Source organism: Homo sapiens, chromosome 12 (genome assembly GCF_000001405.40).
Source record: "Homo sapiens chromosome 12, GRCh38.p14 Primary Assembly".
NCBI lineage: Eukaryota > Metazoa > Chordata > Mammalia > Primates > Hominidae > Homo > Homo sapiens.
The window spans coordinates 25126080-25143953 of record NC_000012.12 but is presented as its reverse complement, the minus strand read 5'-3'; the positions used below and the strand labels follow the sequence as shown (position 1 = coordinate 25143953).

At 37.6% G+C, this 17874-nt stretch overlaps 1 protein-coding gene across 30 annotated transcripts in view, besides 1 other annotated feature; it reads left to right on the top strand.

Moving 5' to 3' along the window:
• The window catches only part of DNAI7 (dynein axonemal intermediate chain 7), an 88114-nt gene that overhangs the window by 51207 nt on the left and 19033 nt on the right, over positions 1 to 17874 (top strand). The window lies entirely within an intron of this gene.
• Positions 7740 to 8239: an enhancer, noted in NCBI's record as "H3K4me1 hESC enhancer chr12:25288649-25289148 (GRCh37/hg19 assembly coordinates)". NCBI's record gives its function as "activates a minimal SCP1, AML or CMV promoter by ChIP-STARR-seq in naive H9 embryonic stem cells {active_cell/tissue: H9 hESC(naive)}" and the evidence as "EXISTENCE:reporter gene assay evidence [ECO:0000049][PMID:30033119]".

Below are 17874 nucleotides of genomic sequence, written 5' to 3'. Positions count from 1 at the left end.
ATTTTCTTAAAATATTACACTCTTCTCTGAAAATCTGACATCTTTAGAGATAGCTTTTGACCAATTTAATAATCATATTCCTTTAGTTAGCTTCTTCTCTTTTTTCTGTTGGCAAGATTGTCAAGCTACTTATTTATGTTAGAAAAAATGTCTCTTAAGAATTTAGTAATACTTTCTCAGAGCTAAGCAGATTCTTTGTTTAATAGCCTATTTGCATGTTATGAGGGACCAAAATATCTCAAGTTTTCTGACAAGTGCTTAAGACATGAAATGTATTGGTTTATTGATTTATTTTCTTTAAACACAGGAAAGGATTAAGGATTAGATTGAATACAAATTTAAAATCAGAATAGGAATTATTAGATACTCTAAGAACACGTGATTTATTAAGAATTCAATTTAAAATATTACACTGGTATCAAAAATTATAGGCCGGGCGTGGTGGCTCACGCCTGTAATCCCAGCACTTTGAGGTCAGGAGTTCGAGACCAGCCTGGCCAACATGGTGAAACCCTGTCTCTGCTAAAAATACAGAAAATTAGCCGGGCGTGGTGGTGTATACCTGTAATCCCAGCTACTTGGGAGGCTGAGACAAGATAATTGCTTCAACCCAGGAGGCGGATGTTGCAGTGAGCCGAGATCATGCCATTGCACTTCAGCCTGGGTGACAGAGTGAGACTTTGTCTCAAAAAAAAAAAAAAAAAAAATTATGAAGACTCTGTAGCAATGTAGAAAAATGGATATGACATAATGCTAAGTATAAAAAAATTGTATTTAGACTCTAATGACAAGCACGTGAAAATTTTAAAGGCATAAGGAAATGAGAACCCAGAAATCTGTGCATAGCTCATATTTTAGAGAGGAGGGAAATGATTTATTCTTCTTTAAAAATTTGTCATTTTTGTTTAAATGTTTTTTGGGCAATAAGATAGTTTTTAAAATAAAAATTTCATGTGAACTCTCAGATAGTTTAGAAGCTTTACTAGAGACAATAGTATTTCCAGTTCTCTTCCCTTTCCTGGAATATGGAAGGATTATACTCCTTTCCATGTTGCAGCTAGGCATGACCATGTGACTTAGCTAATAAGATGTGATTAGACATGACAAACTCATTTCCAAGGGGGAAAAAAATAGAATGGGTAAATAGGTCTTGGACTTAACATTGTTTCAATATGGAGTAAAATACAAAATTAAACCCCATTAACCTAAAATAAAGTTAGGGAGGATTTGTGATTTTATATTCCTGAAAACAAAGAACCTATCAGTATTTTACATAAGAATTTCACATTATTGATTTTAAAATTGTGAAATAATAATTTGGAACCATAAAATTTGAACTATTACTTGCATTTACATGGCTAAAGCATTTTTTTCTTATGCATCTATCTCAAAGTGGCCTCATGTAGTAATAATTAATTATAGTTCTGTTAATTTTGGCAGTAGTTTTGTTTTTTTTTTATTTCAAAAGGTTTTTGGGGAACAGGTGGCATTTGGTTACATGGATAAGTTCTTTAGTGGTGATTTCTAAGATTTTGGTGCACCCATTACCCGAGCAGTGGACACTACCCATTGTGTAGTCTTTTATCCCTCATCCCCCTCCCACCCTTCCCTTGAGTCCCCAAAGTCCATTGTATCATTCTTATGCATTTGCATCCTCATAGCTTAGCTCCCACTTATAAGTGAGAATATGTGATGTTTGGTTTTCTATTCCTGGGTTACTTCACTTACAATAATGGTCTCCAGTTCCATCCAGGTTGCTGCAAATGCCATTATTTCATTCTCTTTTATGGCTGAGTGGTATTCCATGGTACACATATACCTCATTTTCTTTATCCACTTGTTGATTGCTGGGCATTTGGGCTGGTTCCATGTTTTTGCAATTGCAAATTGTCCTGCTATAAACATGCATGTGCAAGTGTCCTTTTCATATGACTTATTTTCCTCTGGGCAGATACCCAGTACTGGGATTGCTGGATCAAATGGTAGATCTACCTTTAGTTTTTTCAGGAATGTGTTAGTTTACATTCCCACCATCAGTGTAAAAGTGTTCTCTTTTCACCCCATCCACTCAAACATCTATTATTTTTTGATTTTTAAATTATGGCCTTTTTTTTTTCTTTTTTTGAGACAGAGTCTCACTCTGTCACTCAGGCTGGAGAGCAGTGGCATGATCTCAGCTCACTGCAACCTCCACCTCCCAGGTTCAAGCAATTCTCTTGCCTGAGACTCCTGAGTAGCTGGGATTGCCGGCACGTGCCACCACGCCTGGCTAATTTTTTGTATTTTTAGTAGATACAGGGTTTCACCATGTTAGCCAGGATGGTCTCAATCTCCTGACCTCATGGTCCACCTGCCTTGGCCTCCCAAAGTGCTGGGATAACAGGCATGAGCCACTGCACCGTGCCAATTATGGCCATTTTTGCAGGAGTGAGGTAGTATCACATTGTGGTTTTGATTTGGATGTCCTTAATAATTAGTAATGTTGAGCATTTTTTCTTATGTTTCTTGGCGATTTGTATATCTTCTTTTGAGAATTGTCTATTCAGGTCCTTAGCCCACTTTTTGATGGGATTATTATTTTCTTGCTGATTTGTTTGAGTTCCTTATAGATTGTGGATATTCTGCATCTAATAATCTTTGTTAGGTGCATAGTTTGTGAAGATTTTCTCCCACTCTGTGGGTTGTCTGTTTACTCTGCTGATTATTTCTTTTGCTATGCAGAAGCTTTTTAGTTTAGGTATCATCTATTTATCATTGTTGTTGTTGCATTTGCTTTTGGGCTCTTTTTCATGAAGTCTTTGCCTAAGCCAATGTCTAGAAGGGTTGTTCCAATGTTATTTTCTATAATTTTTATGGTTTCAGGTCTTAGATTTAAGTCTTTGATTCATTTTGAGTTGATTTTTGTATAAGGTGAGAGATGAGGATTCAGTTTCATTCTTCTATACATGGCTTGCCCATTATTCCAGCACCATTTGTTGAATCGGGTGTCCTTTCCCCCACTTTATGTTTTTGTTTGCTTTGTCAAAGATCAGTTGACTGTAAGTATTTGCCTTTATTTCCAGGTTCTCTATTCTGTTCCATTGGTCTATATGCCTATTTTTATACCAGTACCATGCTGTTTTGGTGACTATAGCTTAATAGTATAGTTTGAAGTCAGGTAATGCAATGCCTCCAGATTTGTTCTTTTTGCTTAGCTTGGTTTGGCTATGTGGGCTCTTTTTTGGTTTCATATGAATTTTAGGATTTTTTTTTCTAGTTCCATGAAGAATGATGATGGTATTTTGATGGGAATTGCATTGAATTTGTAGATTGCTTTTGGCAGTATGGTCATTTTCACAATATGATTCTACCCATCCATGAGCATGGGATGTATTTCCATTTGTTTGTGACATCTGTGATTTCTTTCAGCAGTGTTTTGCAGTTTTCCTTGTAGAGGTCTTTCAGCTCCTTGGTTAGGTGTATTCCTAAGTATTTTATTTATTTATTTATTTATTTATTTTTGCAACTACTGTAAAAGGGGCTGAGTTCTTGATTTGATTCTCAGCTTGGTCACTGTTGGTATATAGCAGTGCTACTGATTTGTGTACATTGATTTTGTATGCTGAAACTTTACTGAATTCATTTATCATATCTAGGAGCTTTTAGGATGAGTCTTTAGGGTTTTCTAGGTGTACAGTCATATCATCAGCAAACAATGAGAGTTTGACTTCTTCTTTACTGATTTGGATGCCCTTCGTTTTTTTATCTTGTCTGATTGCTCTGGCTAGGACTTCCAGTACTATGTTGAATAGAAGTTGTGAAAGGGGGCATCCTTGTCTTGTTCCAGTTCTCAGGGGTAATGCTTTCAATGTTTCCCTATTCAGTATAATGTTGGCTGTGAGTTTGTCATAGATGGCTTTTATTAACTTAAGGCATTTCCCTTCTATGCCGATTTTGCTGAGAGTTGTAATCATAAAGAGATGCTGGATTTTGTCAGATGCTTTGTTTTTAATTCTATGTGGTATATCACATTTATTGACTTCCACATGTTAAACCATTCCTGCATCCATGGTATGAAACCCACTTGATCATGGTGAATTATCTTTTTTAAAAAATGTATTTATTATTATATACTTTAAGTTCTGGGATACCTGTGCAGAACGTGCAGGTTTGTTGCATAGGTATACATGTGCCATGGTGGTTTGCTGCACCCATCAACCTGTCATCTACATTAGGTATTTCTCCTAATGCTATCCTTCCCCTATCACCCCATCCCCCGACAGGCCCCAGTGTGTGATGTTCCCCTCCCTGTGTCCATGGCTTCTCATTGTTCAACTCACACTTATGAGTGAGAACATGCAGTGTTTGGTTTTCTGTTCTTGTGTTAGTTTGCTGAGAATGATGGTTTCCAGCTTCATCCATGTCCCCTGCAAAGGATAGGAACTCATCCTTTTTTATGGCTGCATGAATTATCTTTTTGATATGCTGTTGGATTCGGTTAGCTAATATTTTGTTGAGGATTTTTACATCTATGTTCATCAGGGATATTGGTCTGTAGTTTCCTTTCTTGTTATACCCTTTCCTGGTTTTGGTATTAGGGTGATACTGGCTCCGTGGAACGATTTAGGAAGGATTCCCTCTTTCTCTACCTTTTGGAATAGTGTCAATAGGATTGGTATCAATTTTTCTTTGAATGCCTGATAGAATTCAGCTGTGAATCCATCTGGTTCTGGACTTTTTTTTTATTGGTAATTTTTTTTTAATTACCATTTCAGTCTTGCTGCTTGCCATTGATCTGTTCAGAGCTTCTATTTATTTCTGTTTTAATCTGGGAGAGGTGTATATTTCCAGGAATCTATTCATCTCCTTTAAGTTTTCTGGTTTGTGTGCATAAAGGTGTTCATAGTAGCCTTGAATGATCTTTTGTATTTCTGTGCTATCAGTTGTAGTATCTCTCATTTTGTTTCTAATTGAGTTTATTTGAATCTTCTCTCTTCTTTTCTTGGTTAATCTCGCTAATGGTCTGTCAATTTTGTTTGTCTTTTCAAAAAACCAGATTTTTATTTCATTTATCTTTTGTATTTTTTTTTTTGTTTCAATTTCATTTAGTTCTGCTCTGATCTTAGCTATTTCTTTTCTTCTGCTTTGTTTGGGTTTGGTTTGTTCTTTTTTCTCTAGTTCCTTGAGGTGTGTCTTCAGATTTTCTATTTGTGCTCTTTCAGAGTTTTTGATTTAGGTATTTAATACCATGAATTTTCCTCTTAGCATCACTTTTGCTGTATCCCAGAGGTTTTGATAGGTTTTGTCACTATTATTGTTCAGTTCAAAGAATTTTTAAATTTCCATCTTGATTTTATTGTTGACCCAATGATTGTTTAGGAGCAGATTATTTAATTTTCATTTATTTGCATGGTTTTGAGGGTTCCTTTTAAAGTTGATTTCCAATTTTATTCCCTGTGGTCTGAGAGAATACTGAATATAATTTTGATTTTCTTAAATTTATTTATTCATTTGAGACCGAGTCTTACTCTGTTGCCAGGCTGGAGTGTAGTGGTGTGATCTCAGCTCACTGCAGCCTCTGCCTCCTGGGTTCCAGTGATTCTCCTGCTTCAGCCTCCTGGATAGCTGGAATTACGGGCAAATGCCACCATGCCCAGCTATTTTTTGTATTTTTAGTAGAGACAGAGTTTCACCATTTGGCCCGGCTGGTCTCCACCTCCTGATCTAAGGTGATCCACCCGTCTTGGCCTCCAAAACTGCTGGGATTACAGGTATGAGCCACTGTGCCTGGCCCAATTTTCTTAAATTTATTGAGACTTGTTTTGTGTCCTCTCATATGGTATATCTTGGATAATGTTCCTTGAGCTGATGAATAATAGAATGTATATTCTGCAGTGGTTGAGTAGAGTGTTGTGTAAATATCTGTTAAGTCCATTTGTTCTAGGGTATAGTTTTGTTTTGTTTTTTTTTTTCCATTTTCTGTCTTGATGACCTGTCTAGTGCTGTCAGTGTTGAAGTATTGGAGTCCCACACTATTATTGTGTTGCCATCTATCTCATTTCTTAGGTCTAGTAGTAATTGTTTTATAAATTTGGGAACTCCAGTGTTAAGTGCATATATATTTAGGAATGTAATATTTTCCTGTTGGACTAGACCTTTTATCATTATGTAGTGTCCCTCTTTGTCTTTTTAAACTACTGTTGTTTATAGTCTGTTTTATCTGATATAAGAATAGCTACTCCTGCTTGCTTTTGGTGTCCATTTGCATGGAATGTCTTTTTCCACCTCTTTACTTTAAGTTTATGTGACTCTATGTGTTAGATGAGTCTCTTGGAGACAACAGGTTCTTGGTTGGTGAATTCTTATCCATTCTGTGGTTCTGTATCTTTTAAGTGGAGCATTTAGGCCATTTACATCCAATGTTAGTATTGAGATGTGAGGTACTATTCTATTCATTGTGCTAGTTGTTGCCTAAATATATTATTTTTTTGTTTTGTTTTTATGTTGTGTTATTGTTTTATAGGCCCTGTGAGATTTATGATTTAGGGGGGTTCTGTTTTGGTATATTTTGAGGTTTTGTTTCAAGATTTATAACTCCTTTTAGCAATTCTTGTAGTGCTGACTTAGTGGTAAATTCTCTTAGCATTTGTTTGTCTGAAAAAGACTTTATCTTTCCTTCATTTATGAAGCTTAGTTTTGCTGGATACAAAATTCTTGGCTGATAATTATTTTGTTTAAGGAGGCTAAAGATAGGACCCCAATCCCTTCTAGCATGTAAGGTTTCTGCTGAGAAATCTGCTTTTAATCTTTTGCCTCACATTTCTTAAGACTTTTTCCTTTGTCTTGAATTTAGATAACCTGATGACTGTGTGCCTAGGTGATTATCTTTTTACGATAAATTTCCCAGGCATTATTTGAGCTTCTTGTGTTTGGATATCTAGATTTCTGGCAAAAACCAGGGAAGTTTTCCTTGATTATTCTTTCAAATATATTTTCTGAGCTTTTAGATTTCTCTTCTTCCTTGGGAACACCAGTTATTCTTTGATTTGGTTGTTTACATAATCCCAGACTTCTTGGAGGCTTTGTTCATTTTTTAAAATTCTTTTTTCTTTTTCTTTGTTGGGTTGGGTTAATTCAAAAGCCTTGTCTTCAAGCTTTGAAGTTCTTTCTTCTATTTGTTTAGGTCCATTGTTGAAAACTTCCCAGTGTATTTTGCATTTCTCTAAGTGTGTCTTTCTTTTCCAGAAGTTGTGATTGTTTTTTATTTATGCTATCTATTTCTCTGGAGATTTTTTTATCCATCGCCTGTATCATTTTTACAATTTCTTTAAGTTGGTTTTCACCTTTCTCTGATGACTCCTTGAGTAGCCTAATAATCGGCCTTCTGAATTCTTTTTGTGGCAATTCAGAGATTTTTTTCATGGTTTGGATCTACTGCTGATGAGCTAGTGTGATCTTTTGGGGGTGTTAAAGAACCTTGTCTTTTCATATTACCAGAATTGTTTTTCTGGTTCCTACTCACTTGGGTAAACTATATGAGAGGAAAGATCTGGGGCTCAAGGGCTGCTTTTCAGATTCATTTGTCCCACAGGGTGATCCCTTGATGGGCTCTCCCCCTTCCCCTACAGATGAGGCTTCCTGAGAGCCAGAATGCAGTTATTATTATTACTTTTCTGGGTCTATCCACCCAGTGGAGCTACTGCGCTCCAGGTTGGTACTGCGGAGTGTCTGCAAAGAGTCGTGTGATGTAATTCATCTTCAGGGCTCTCAACTGTGGATACCAGAACCTGCTCTAGTGGAGGTAGCAGGGGAATGAAGTGGACTCTGTGAGGGTTCTTGGTTGTAGTTTTGTTTAGGGCACTGGTTTTCTCAAATGCTGGCTGTTTGTTGGCCTTCAGCCAGGAGGTGGCGCTTTCAAGAGGGCATCAGCTGCGGTAGTGTGGGAGGATACAAGCTTGCCCTAAGGTAACCTGGATAAGTATTCAGGTTTCTCAGGTGATGGATGGGGCCATAGAGCTCCCAAGAGATTATGTCTTTTGCCTTTGGCTATCAGGGTAGGTAAAGAAAGACCATCAGGTGGAGGCAGGTATAGGCATGTCTGGGCTCTGACTCTCCTTGGGCGGGGGTTGCTGCGGCTGCTCTAGGGGATGGGGGTATGCTTCTCAGGCCAGTGGAATTATGCTCCCAGGGGGATTATGGCTGCCTCTGCTGTGTCATACAGGCCGCCAGAGAGGTGGGGGAAAGTCAGCAGTGATGGGCCTCACCCAGCTCCTACACATCCATCAAGGCCAGTCTCACTCCCACCATGCATCACCAACAGCACTGAGTTTATATCCAGGCAACCAGTGAGTAGGGCTGAGATCTTGCCCCAGGCTACCAGCCTCCCTGCTAAGAAAGTAAACAGGGCTTTTGCTGCCCTGCCCTCCCCGCTGCCCTCTGTGGCTTCTGTGCTTGTGTCTGTACTTCCCATTTCCCACCGCCCCCCATCCCCTGTTCCCGGATCCTGCCCAGGAAAATTTGTGTTTGGTGGAAATTATTGCAAAGTTCAGCTAGAAGTTTCCTTCTCCCTGTGGTCCTTCCCCAATTCCACTGGCAGCTCTCCCCAAGGACCCCTGTGAGATAAAAGTCAGAAATGGCTTCCCTGGAGACCAGGAGCGCCTACAGGGCTCTTCCCACTGCTTCTTCTACTTTTATATTTCATTCGGCTTTCTAAATCCATTTCAGTTCTAGGTAAGGTTAAATCCTTCTCCCATGATCTGGATTTTCAGGTTCTCCAGTGAGGATGTGTGTTTGGAGGCAGATTATCCCCCCTCACACTTTGGACACTCACAGTATTTTGGCTGTCTCATGGAGTTTGCAGTGGCAAGTGCTTCTTTCAGAGTCTGTGAATTATTTCCGTTTTCCTGGTGTGTTCCTGCAGTAGTTCTTGGAGCAAAAGTTCATGATGTGAGTCTCCATACACTCACTGTTCTGTCTGTCCAAGTGGGAGCTTCAAGTTAGTCCTGCCTCATATCTGCCATTTTTCCTAAATGGCAATACTTTTATACTAAATATATAAGCATATGAATCCACTACAATACTGACTGCATAGTGAATTTATATCTTCTTCTCAATATTTGTCATCAATTAGTGTAGACAGCTAGTGGGCCTGAAAGTACCGAGCTAAGCTTTTCTTAGTTTGAATGGCCCTTACCAATGAGTTTAACTACATCCAGTTTTTGTTATTATGTAATGTTACATTGAACCATTTTAGGTTATAATGATGAATAAAGATATGCAAATGATGATGTTGAAAGTGCCACAAAAGTACACCAAGGAGGCCAGGTGCAGTGGCTCATGACTATAATCCCAGCACTTTGGGAGGCTGAGGCAGGTGGGTCACCTGAGGTCAGGAGTTTGAGATCAGCCGGGCCAACATGGTGAAACCCTGTCTCTATTAAAAATACAAAAATTAGCTGGGCATGGTGGCATGTGCCTGTAATCCCAACTGCTCGGGAGGCTGAGGCACGAGAATCACTTGAACCTGGGAGGCAGAGGTTGCAATGAGCCGAGATTGTGCCGCTGCACTCTAGCCTGGGCGACAGAGTGAGACTCTGTCTCAAAAAAAAAAAAAAAAAAAAAAGTACGCCAAGGAAAACCATTATAATGAATGGCAAGATGCACATTTTATCAAATTTGAGGCTATGTTCAAATACATAGTCTAGGCTGGGTGCAGTGGCTCAAGGCCTAAACAAGAGGATCCCTTGGGCTCAGGAGTTCAAGACCAGCCTGAGCAACATATCAAGACCTCGTCTGTACTAAAAATCAAAAAAAGTAGCCGGATGTGGTGGCATGTGCCTATAGTTCAAGTTACTAGGAACCCTGAGGTGAGAGGATTGCCTGAGCCCAGGAGGTCGAGGCTGCAGTGAGCAGTGGTCATGCCACTGCACTCAAGCCTAGGCAAGAGAGCGGGACCCTGTCTTAAAAACAAAAATAAAAACAAAACAAATACATAGTCCAAGAAACCTCAAATAAAGATCAGCAGGCAATTAGTGATATGGCAGAAATAATTTTACTTTATAAAAGGCAATGAAAACTTGTCCAAAGTCTGTGAATGGTAAGAATTGTGTGAATGGTAGATACAGGAACCTGGCTGGAGGATTTATATCCATGGGATTTAGAAAGGGACAGGTGATTGCCTAGAAAGTGAGAGTAACATTAACTCAGCACCCTCATTTCCAGGAACATATCTCACCACCACCCAACAGACACATGTGTAGACGCTTATGCTTATGTATCTGTGCTCTATCCTTCTGCTGAAAACCCCACAACATTCTGAAAATGCTAATATGAATAATGCTGAAGTATGTATGATTTCCACAGAAGCCGAAGAACCCCATAGTATTGGTGAGGTGTGCCAGGGCAGGAGGGGGAAGCCATCTTCTGTGCTGAAGGGGGAAGGGTGGTGGGTGACTGCTTAGAGCGAAGAATCCCCCAACACAAAACTACTTGTCAGATGGGCCTATACTTGCCACAGATTCTGAACAGTGTAAACCGCCTTTCGTAGGTGTGAGTAGACTGCAGGGAGCAAAAATCACTAGATTTATAAAGACAATCAGCAGCTCAAAAGAGGAAGACAGAGATAATTTAATGGGATTTGTTAGGGGAAAAGAATGAGAGATGATGGATAGAAATAGGAGTGTAATATCTATATAAAAGAAACTCGAAGTCGAGAATGGACAGGATGAGTTTGATATAACAATTGGTGCTGGGGCAGTTGACTAAGATTTAAAAGAAATTTCGATTCTCACTTTACCCTAAAGACTAAAAAAAAAAAAAAATCACAGTTTTAAATATAAAAACAAACTGAACTATTCAAAAATTATAAAAATAATGAAAGTATTTGAACAGAATATAGGAAACTTATTTTATTATCTTTACTAAGAAGACCTTTCGTACTTACCAGTGCATCAAAACCAAAAGCATGAACGAAAAAGAGATTGGATTCAAATATTTGTGTAGCCCCATAAACCTCATTATAAAACAAAGCTGAAAGGCAAATAACAGACTAAGAAAAATATTTCAACGTACATGACAAGGGGTTATACCCCAATATAAAGAATTTGTACACATCAGTGAGAAGACAATTTCTTAATATAAAATTAAGCAAAGGACATGAGCAGGCAGCTGAGAAAAGAAATACAACTAGCCAAAAATGTACTGAACCAAATAAGTAATCAAATTAGAAAAAAGATGTCATTTGTTTTCCTATCAGATTGAGCAGGCAGGCGTCTTCACATACCGTTATTAGAAGTGTAAATCTGTACAGTCCTTATTTGGTACCATGTAAACATGCCTATGATTAGTGATTTAACTTATAGTAATTTATTATTAGAAAATAATAGAACAAAATAAATAAAAATGATTGTGCCAAGATTTTCATTGAAGTTTTTTATAGTAGCAAAAACAGTCCACAAATTAAAATAATTGTAAAGTATCCAAACAACACTAGTTTGTTTGGATATTTGGATATTTTATCATTTAAAATGACACAGATTTATATACTTTTCTATAGAAAGATCCCTAAGCTGTATTGTTAAATTTTTTTTAAAGTTAAAACTCTATTATCAATATGATTCTGTTTTTATGAATGCACAGAAAAAATCTAGAGGCCTCTTTACCAAAGAGTGGCTATCTTTTGGTGGTGGGGGAAAGAACGTGAGAAGGATGGGATGGTGGTATATTATCAGTGATTTTTTTACTGTCTATACTCTATTGTGTTATTTGAATTTTCAATAAGTAAGTACTGAACACGCAATACTTTCCTCATAGGAAATGAAACGATGTATTTCCCATTTTGGCTTTAAAGGGGGAACGTTCATGATAAGCCTCTGTGCTGAGGTGAAATTCCCTTCCTCCCATCACACGAATAATCCCTGTACCTAACTTCTACTTGTCTTCATTCAAGACTTACCTTAAATTTTACCTCCAGAGAATCCTCCGTCTCCTCAGATTAAATCAGATGTCCCTCCACTATGCTCTTGTCATTCTGTTTAATTATTATAATTGTTGCCTTAAACACTAAATTATGATCTTGAGGGCAAGAATTTCTTGAGAGACTTCATATTTAAGCAGAGAGCATAGAGCTCATGATAAGGGCTCAATGAATGTTTATTGAATGAAGGAAGGAAGAAGTGAATGAATGGATGTTTAAATGATGAAAAGCAGGCCCTGACTTGGGTCTGATTTGTTGTGAGCAGCCTACATAAATTGGGCAATCCAACCACTATGCTCCTCAAAGTTATCCTGTCTTTTGAGAGATACTTAAGATCCTCTTCATTACAGTTGGGTGTGCTGGAGATCACTTCTGCTACCTTTACGGATTCTGCAAGCTGGTTACTGGGGATTCTTGGGACTCTCTCCTCTGCAGTTCTGATCCTCCACCCCTTTAGTGATCCGGCATAGTATGTGGTAATAGGAAGACTCTTGCTGTCACTACTTCAGCCTTAGGAAAGGTGTGCTCCTCCCATTCCAGTTGGAACTCAGTGTGTGTGTGAAGCAATATTTACAGACAGTGTAAAGTTATGTTTGTATTCCTATATAATCACAGCTACAGGAGAACTAACATAACCCTAAATTTCATTCATAACACAATTTGTGTGTGTGACAAAATGTATTCTAAATGTTTTAAACTGCCATATAAATTCATGATACTCAACTTTTTTGTCTATGTGTATAAATTAGGGACTACATGTAAGATCAGTAGGCAAACTTAACTATGTTTTGGATTTAGAGAAAAAAGTTCTCTATTTTTCCAGCTTTTTTTTTTTGGTTGGGGGTAAACTGCTTACCTCACAATTTTAGGTTGGCATATTTTATTATAAATCTTACATCATTATATCTTTATAATGACTTTAGAGACTGATGCAAGGCAAGTATGATATAATAATGCAGGCAATTATGGCCCAGAACATATGAGTTATGTTTGATATGTTAGGTAATCACAAATAACAAGTATTTAGTATTTTGGTCATTTAAAAAATTAAATCTCTTACATTAGATGATGTACACATTTTCTTTTTCATGAGTACAGCAAGAAGTTTGCCACTAGAGGGCTCTTAATACCACATTTTAGTTCATTTAAATGTGTAATACTAATAATATTATAGGTATTGGGTAATACTGTCTTCCCAATTACTATATCATGCAAACTTTTTAGAAAAGCCTAATTTAAGTGTAGCACATTTGTGAGAAATTTTTTTTCTAATGAGAATTACCTTCAGAACTACATTAGTGATCTAAGGGGCATGCATTATAGTATGTGGGTCTTTGAACTTTTAAAAGTTAAAGTAGTCTCTGGCTTTAAGATAGTTTAAGCAAACATATACAGGATTTAACATAAATATTTTATTTTATTTTATTTTATTTTATTTTATTTTATTTTATTTTATTTTATTTTGAGAGGGAGTCTCGCTCTTTCGCCCAGGCCGGAGTGCAGTGGCGCTATCTCGGCTCACTGCAAGCTCTGCCTCCCAGGTTTATGCCATTCTTCTGCCTCAGCCTCCCAAGTAGCTGGGACTACAGGCACCCGCCCCCGCGCCCGGCTAATTTTTTGTATTTTTAGTACAGACGGGGTTTCACCGTGTTAGTCAGGATGGTCTCGATCTCCTGACCTTGTGCTCTGCCTGCCTTGGCCTCCCAAAGTGCTGGGATTACAGGCGTGAGCCACCGCGCCCGGCCCATATAAATATTTTATATATGTAATGTATATGTTATTGGCAAACATTTACCAAATACCTGCTATTGATAAGGGATTCAACACGCTCTTGTTTTTAATGAGCTAACAATCTTGTGGATTAGAAGAGTAACAGTTACCATATCTTCTAATATATGCAATGAGAGAGATTCTACATGGGGGTTAAGAGATCAAAATAGGCTGGGCGTGGTGTCTCATGCCTATAATCCCAGCACTTTGGGAGGCCGAGGCAGGGGGATCACCTGAGATCGGGAGTTTGAGACCAGCCTGACCAACATGGAGAAACCCCATCTCTACTAAAAATACAAAATTAGCCAGGTATGGTGGCAGGTACCTGTAATCCCAGCCACTCAAGAGGCTGAGGCAGGAGAATCACTTGAACCTGGGAGGCAGAGGTTGCGGTGAGCTGAGATCATGCCATTACACTCCAGCCTGGGCAGTAAGAGTGAAACTCCATGTCAAAAAAAAAAAATAAAAATAAAATAAAAATAAACCCAAAATAAAAACAAATGAACAGATTGGAAGTCTTCTCTCATGAGGTAACATGAGCTGAATCTTTTGGTGTAGCATGGAGAAGTTTAGATAGGAAGGAAAGGAAGTTATTCTGGTCAGAGGGAAAAGTATGGAGACATGAAATAGCCTTAGTAATTTGGGATGTTTTGTGATCATCGTGGATAAATTAAAAATCCATGGGAATAAGTTATATAAAAAACCTAGCATCAGAGCTCCTTAACATTCAACAACCTTTAATGTGCCACAAATGTATGTTTTCAGTGCATTTCCAGGTCATACCCTGGGAGTTGTTCTCATTTCCTTACTCACTTACTGAATATTTATCATACGCCTACCTCTATGTGGTAGGCACCATTCTGGCCCTCGGGAGGATGGCTAAAGAACAAATAAGGCTCCTTCTCTCATAATTTACATACAAGTTAGGAGAAATCAACAATAAATAAGAAAAAGTAGAAAATACCATATAGTAATCATTCATGCACCAAATTAAACAGGATTAAACTGGGAGTGACTTTACATTGGGTAGTTAGGGAGGGCCTGTTTGATGGGGTATTATTTAGCCGAGACCCAGATGACAAGAAGGAATCAGCTATTTAAAATGAAGGTAAAAATAGTCTTCAGGCACAATTATTGCAGAAGTCATAAAACAGAAGTGAGAAGGAAGGCCAGCGACTGATGTATGATGGGCAAGAAGCAAAGTGGTATGTAATAAAGTTGGAAAGGGAGGCAGAAGCCAGATAAAGTCAGGCTTTGCAGGCCAGAGTGAGAATTTAGGCTTTTATTGTAAATGTAGTGGGGAGCCATTAGAGGGTGGTAAGTAGGAGTGTGACATGATGTGATGTATGGCCCTGAAAGGTTATTCTGGCTACTGTATGGAGAACAAATTGTGAGGGGCCAGAATAAAAGCACAGTGTCTAGTTAAATAGTACTGGTAAGTAATAAGTCATGGTGGTTTGGACAGAGGTTGCAGTAAGAGTTATAGAAAGATGAATATGTTTGGGAGATGTTTTGGAGGTAAAATATATCTTACTGAGTTTTTATTTTGAGAAATGAGGCATATGGTGATACAGTTTACAGAGATGAACAAAAATAGAGTGAAACAGTTGAGAGTGGCTGTGAAACAAAGAGTTCTGTTTGGGTAAGTTTGGGGGATGCAAGTGGAAATGACAGGTAGGCAAATGTGAACCTGGAGTTCAGAGGAAAGTCAGACACAGCTGCTACGTACATGTTCACGTGCAGGTTATGTTCTGAACTTCTGGAATCAAGCGGTACAATGTGTGTGACCTACAGAGCATCACTAGCTTATATTTGGGGACCATTGGTCTATAGATAGTATTTAAAGCCACTGGAATGAATGAGACCAGTAGACCCAGGATAATTATTCTTAATTAATGCTGTATTTTCAAAATTCATTTTCAATTCCTTATCAAGAATCAGTTCCAACAATTTATTTTGAGTTATAGTAAAATTTAAATTATCTTTTGATGAAAAAGTATATTTCAGATCAATGAATTTCTTTTGCATAGATCTTCTGTTGATGGATAATAAAATTCAAGACATTCTGTCAAACTTGTAAAGTGTTCAGTGCTGACATTTTGCAGATATTATCAAGATCATTTACTTCATTAATAATTGTTGGCATCAGTTTCATATATTCTTTTCCAATACTTTCATGGTTTTTGTAGCTTTTGATTGGTTTAGTTTTGTTTTTACATTTAAATCTTATATCCATCTGGAATTTATTTTAGTGTAAAGTGAGAAGAATGAATCTAAATTTATTTTATTGCAAATCTTAGCCAGCTGTCTCAAAACACATACCATATAAACCTAGGCGTTTTCCATTGATCTGAAATGCCATATGCTAAATTTTCAAGTGGATCCTATTCTCTATTTCTGGAATCTATATTCTGTTTTTATTGATCCACCTATTAATGATAGGTTATGTTTTTATATCAAATTCAAATTGCACATATACTAAGGAATTTCTATGTTATACTATCTGTGCATTTATCAAGTTGCAATGAAAATTATTTGCTAGTGTCCCATGACATTCTTTCATGGTATAAGCCAGTTCTCGTATACATTGAGACAAGATATCATTGAAAAGTTATACTTTAGCTACCTTCTCTGATTCATATTCTGTCAACATTTCCAAGCAAACATCTTTTAGAAATTGTTATTTACTTTAAATCTATTGTGTCTATAAATTTAATACAATTGAAGTAAAAATTCCAGTTGTCAGTTTTTGAGACTTGACAAAATACTATTAAAGTTTACCTAGAAGAAAAAAATACTTGGAAAACACCCAATTTTGTAAAAGAATTATGATGAAAGAGGACCATCATTACCAGATATAAAACATGATGAAAATAGGAATAAAGAAGTATTTTTTTGGCTTCATTGCCAACAAACACAAGGAGTTTATTATTATTATTATATATAAAGCTTATACATTATACCTGTATTGTCAGCAAATGAGATTTGAAGTTTTTGTGCGGGAGCACGTTCTGATGACACTGTTGCAATTACAGGAACCCATTCTAGACTAGTTATCAAAATTAAGGAGCTTGTGCTAGAATGTAAGTTGACTCACTGCATCCTTCTAGAAGTCTAACTTCAAAAAAGAGTCAATTGAGCTAAAGAGTAGTACAATTTTTTTAAAAATTGACTTATGTAAAGGCAATGTGTTATATGCAAGAATATCCTCTTTATGATGTGGTACTATAGAAACTGATAAATTCCTGTTGTTGCATGCTGAGGTGAAGTACTCGTGTTTATCAAGGGAAAAGTTCTGTTGAGAAAGTCTGAATTCCTAGTGTTCCTGCAAGATAAGAAGCCAGTTTGGTCTAAACTCTTTGAAGAGTTCTCAACTTTTTAAAGATATGAATTAGACTGACTTACCTATTGGTCTGATATCTTTGGTATTTTTATTGATCATAATCCTCCCTGAAAGAAATAAATGCAACTTGGTTTTTAAAGGTAAATAATGCCAAAGGCCACCTGGCTATCCCACAGGCACCTCAAATTCAACATTCCACAATCAAATTCATTACTTTTCCCCCAAACCTGTCCTTCCTCTTCCTTTTCTTTTTTCTTTTTTTTGGTGCTAATTGTTATCACTCTCTACCTTAATTACCTAAATCCAACACCTGAACATCAGCCGTAGCCTCTCCCTTGCTTTACTTTTATATCCAGTCCCTCCTCAAGTTAGATTGCTTTTAATTCCTTATCATCTCTCCTATAAGCTCCTTCTAGTGGCCCTGGTTGCTTCTGCCTTGGGTAGGTCCTGATCTTGTCTACACTGGACTTCTAGCACTTCACTGAGCAGCCCATTCATCAGGTGGCTGCCAGAATACTCTTTCCAAATGCAAATTTCTTCACATTAGGTTCCTACTGAAGGCCTTTTATGAGCTCTCCTTTACCCATAGGAGACATTTTAAAGTCTTCAGAGTGGCATTCAGAGCTGTCCACAATCTGGCCCCTGCATCTCTCCAGCCTCAGATCTTTACACCCTCCTAGCATGCCTCACTCCAGCTATACCTGACCACTTGGAGTGCTTGGAATCCTGTTTTGCTTCATGCCTTTCACTTTCACTCACATTAGAATTCTCTCCCACCCTTTTTGGGGGAGGATCTATTAATAATTAT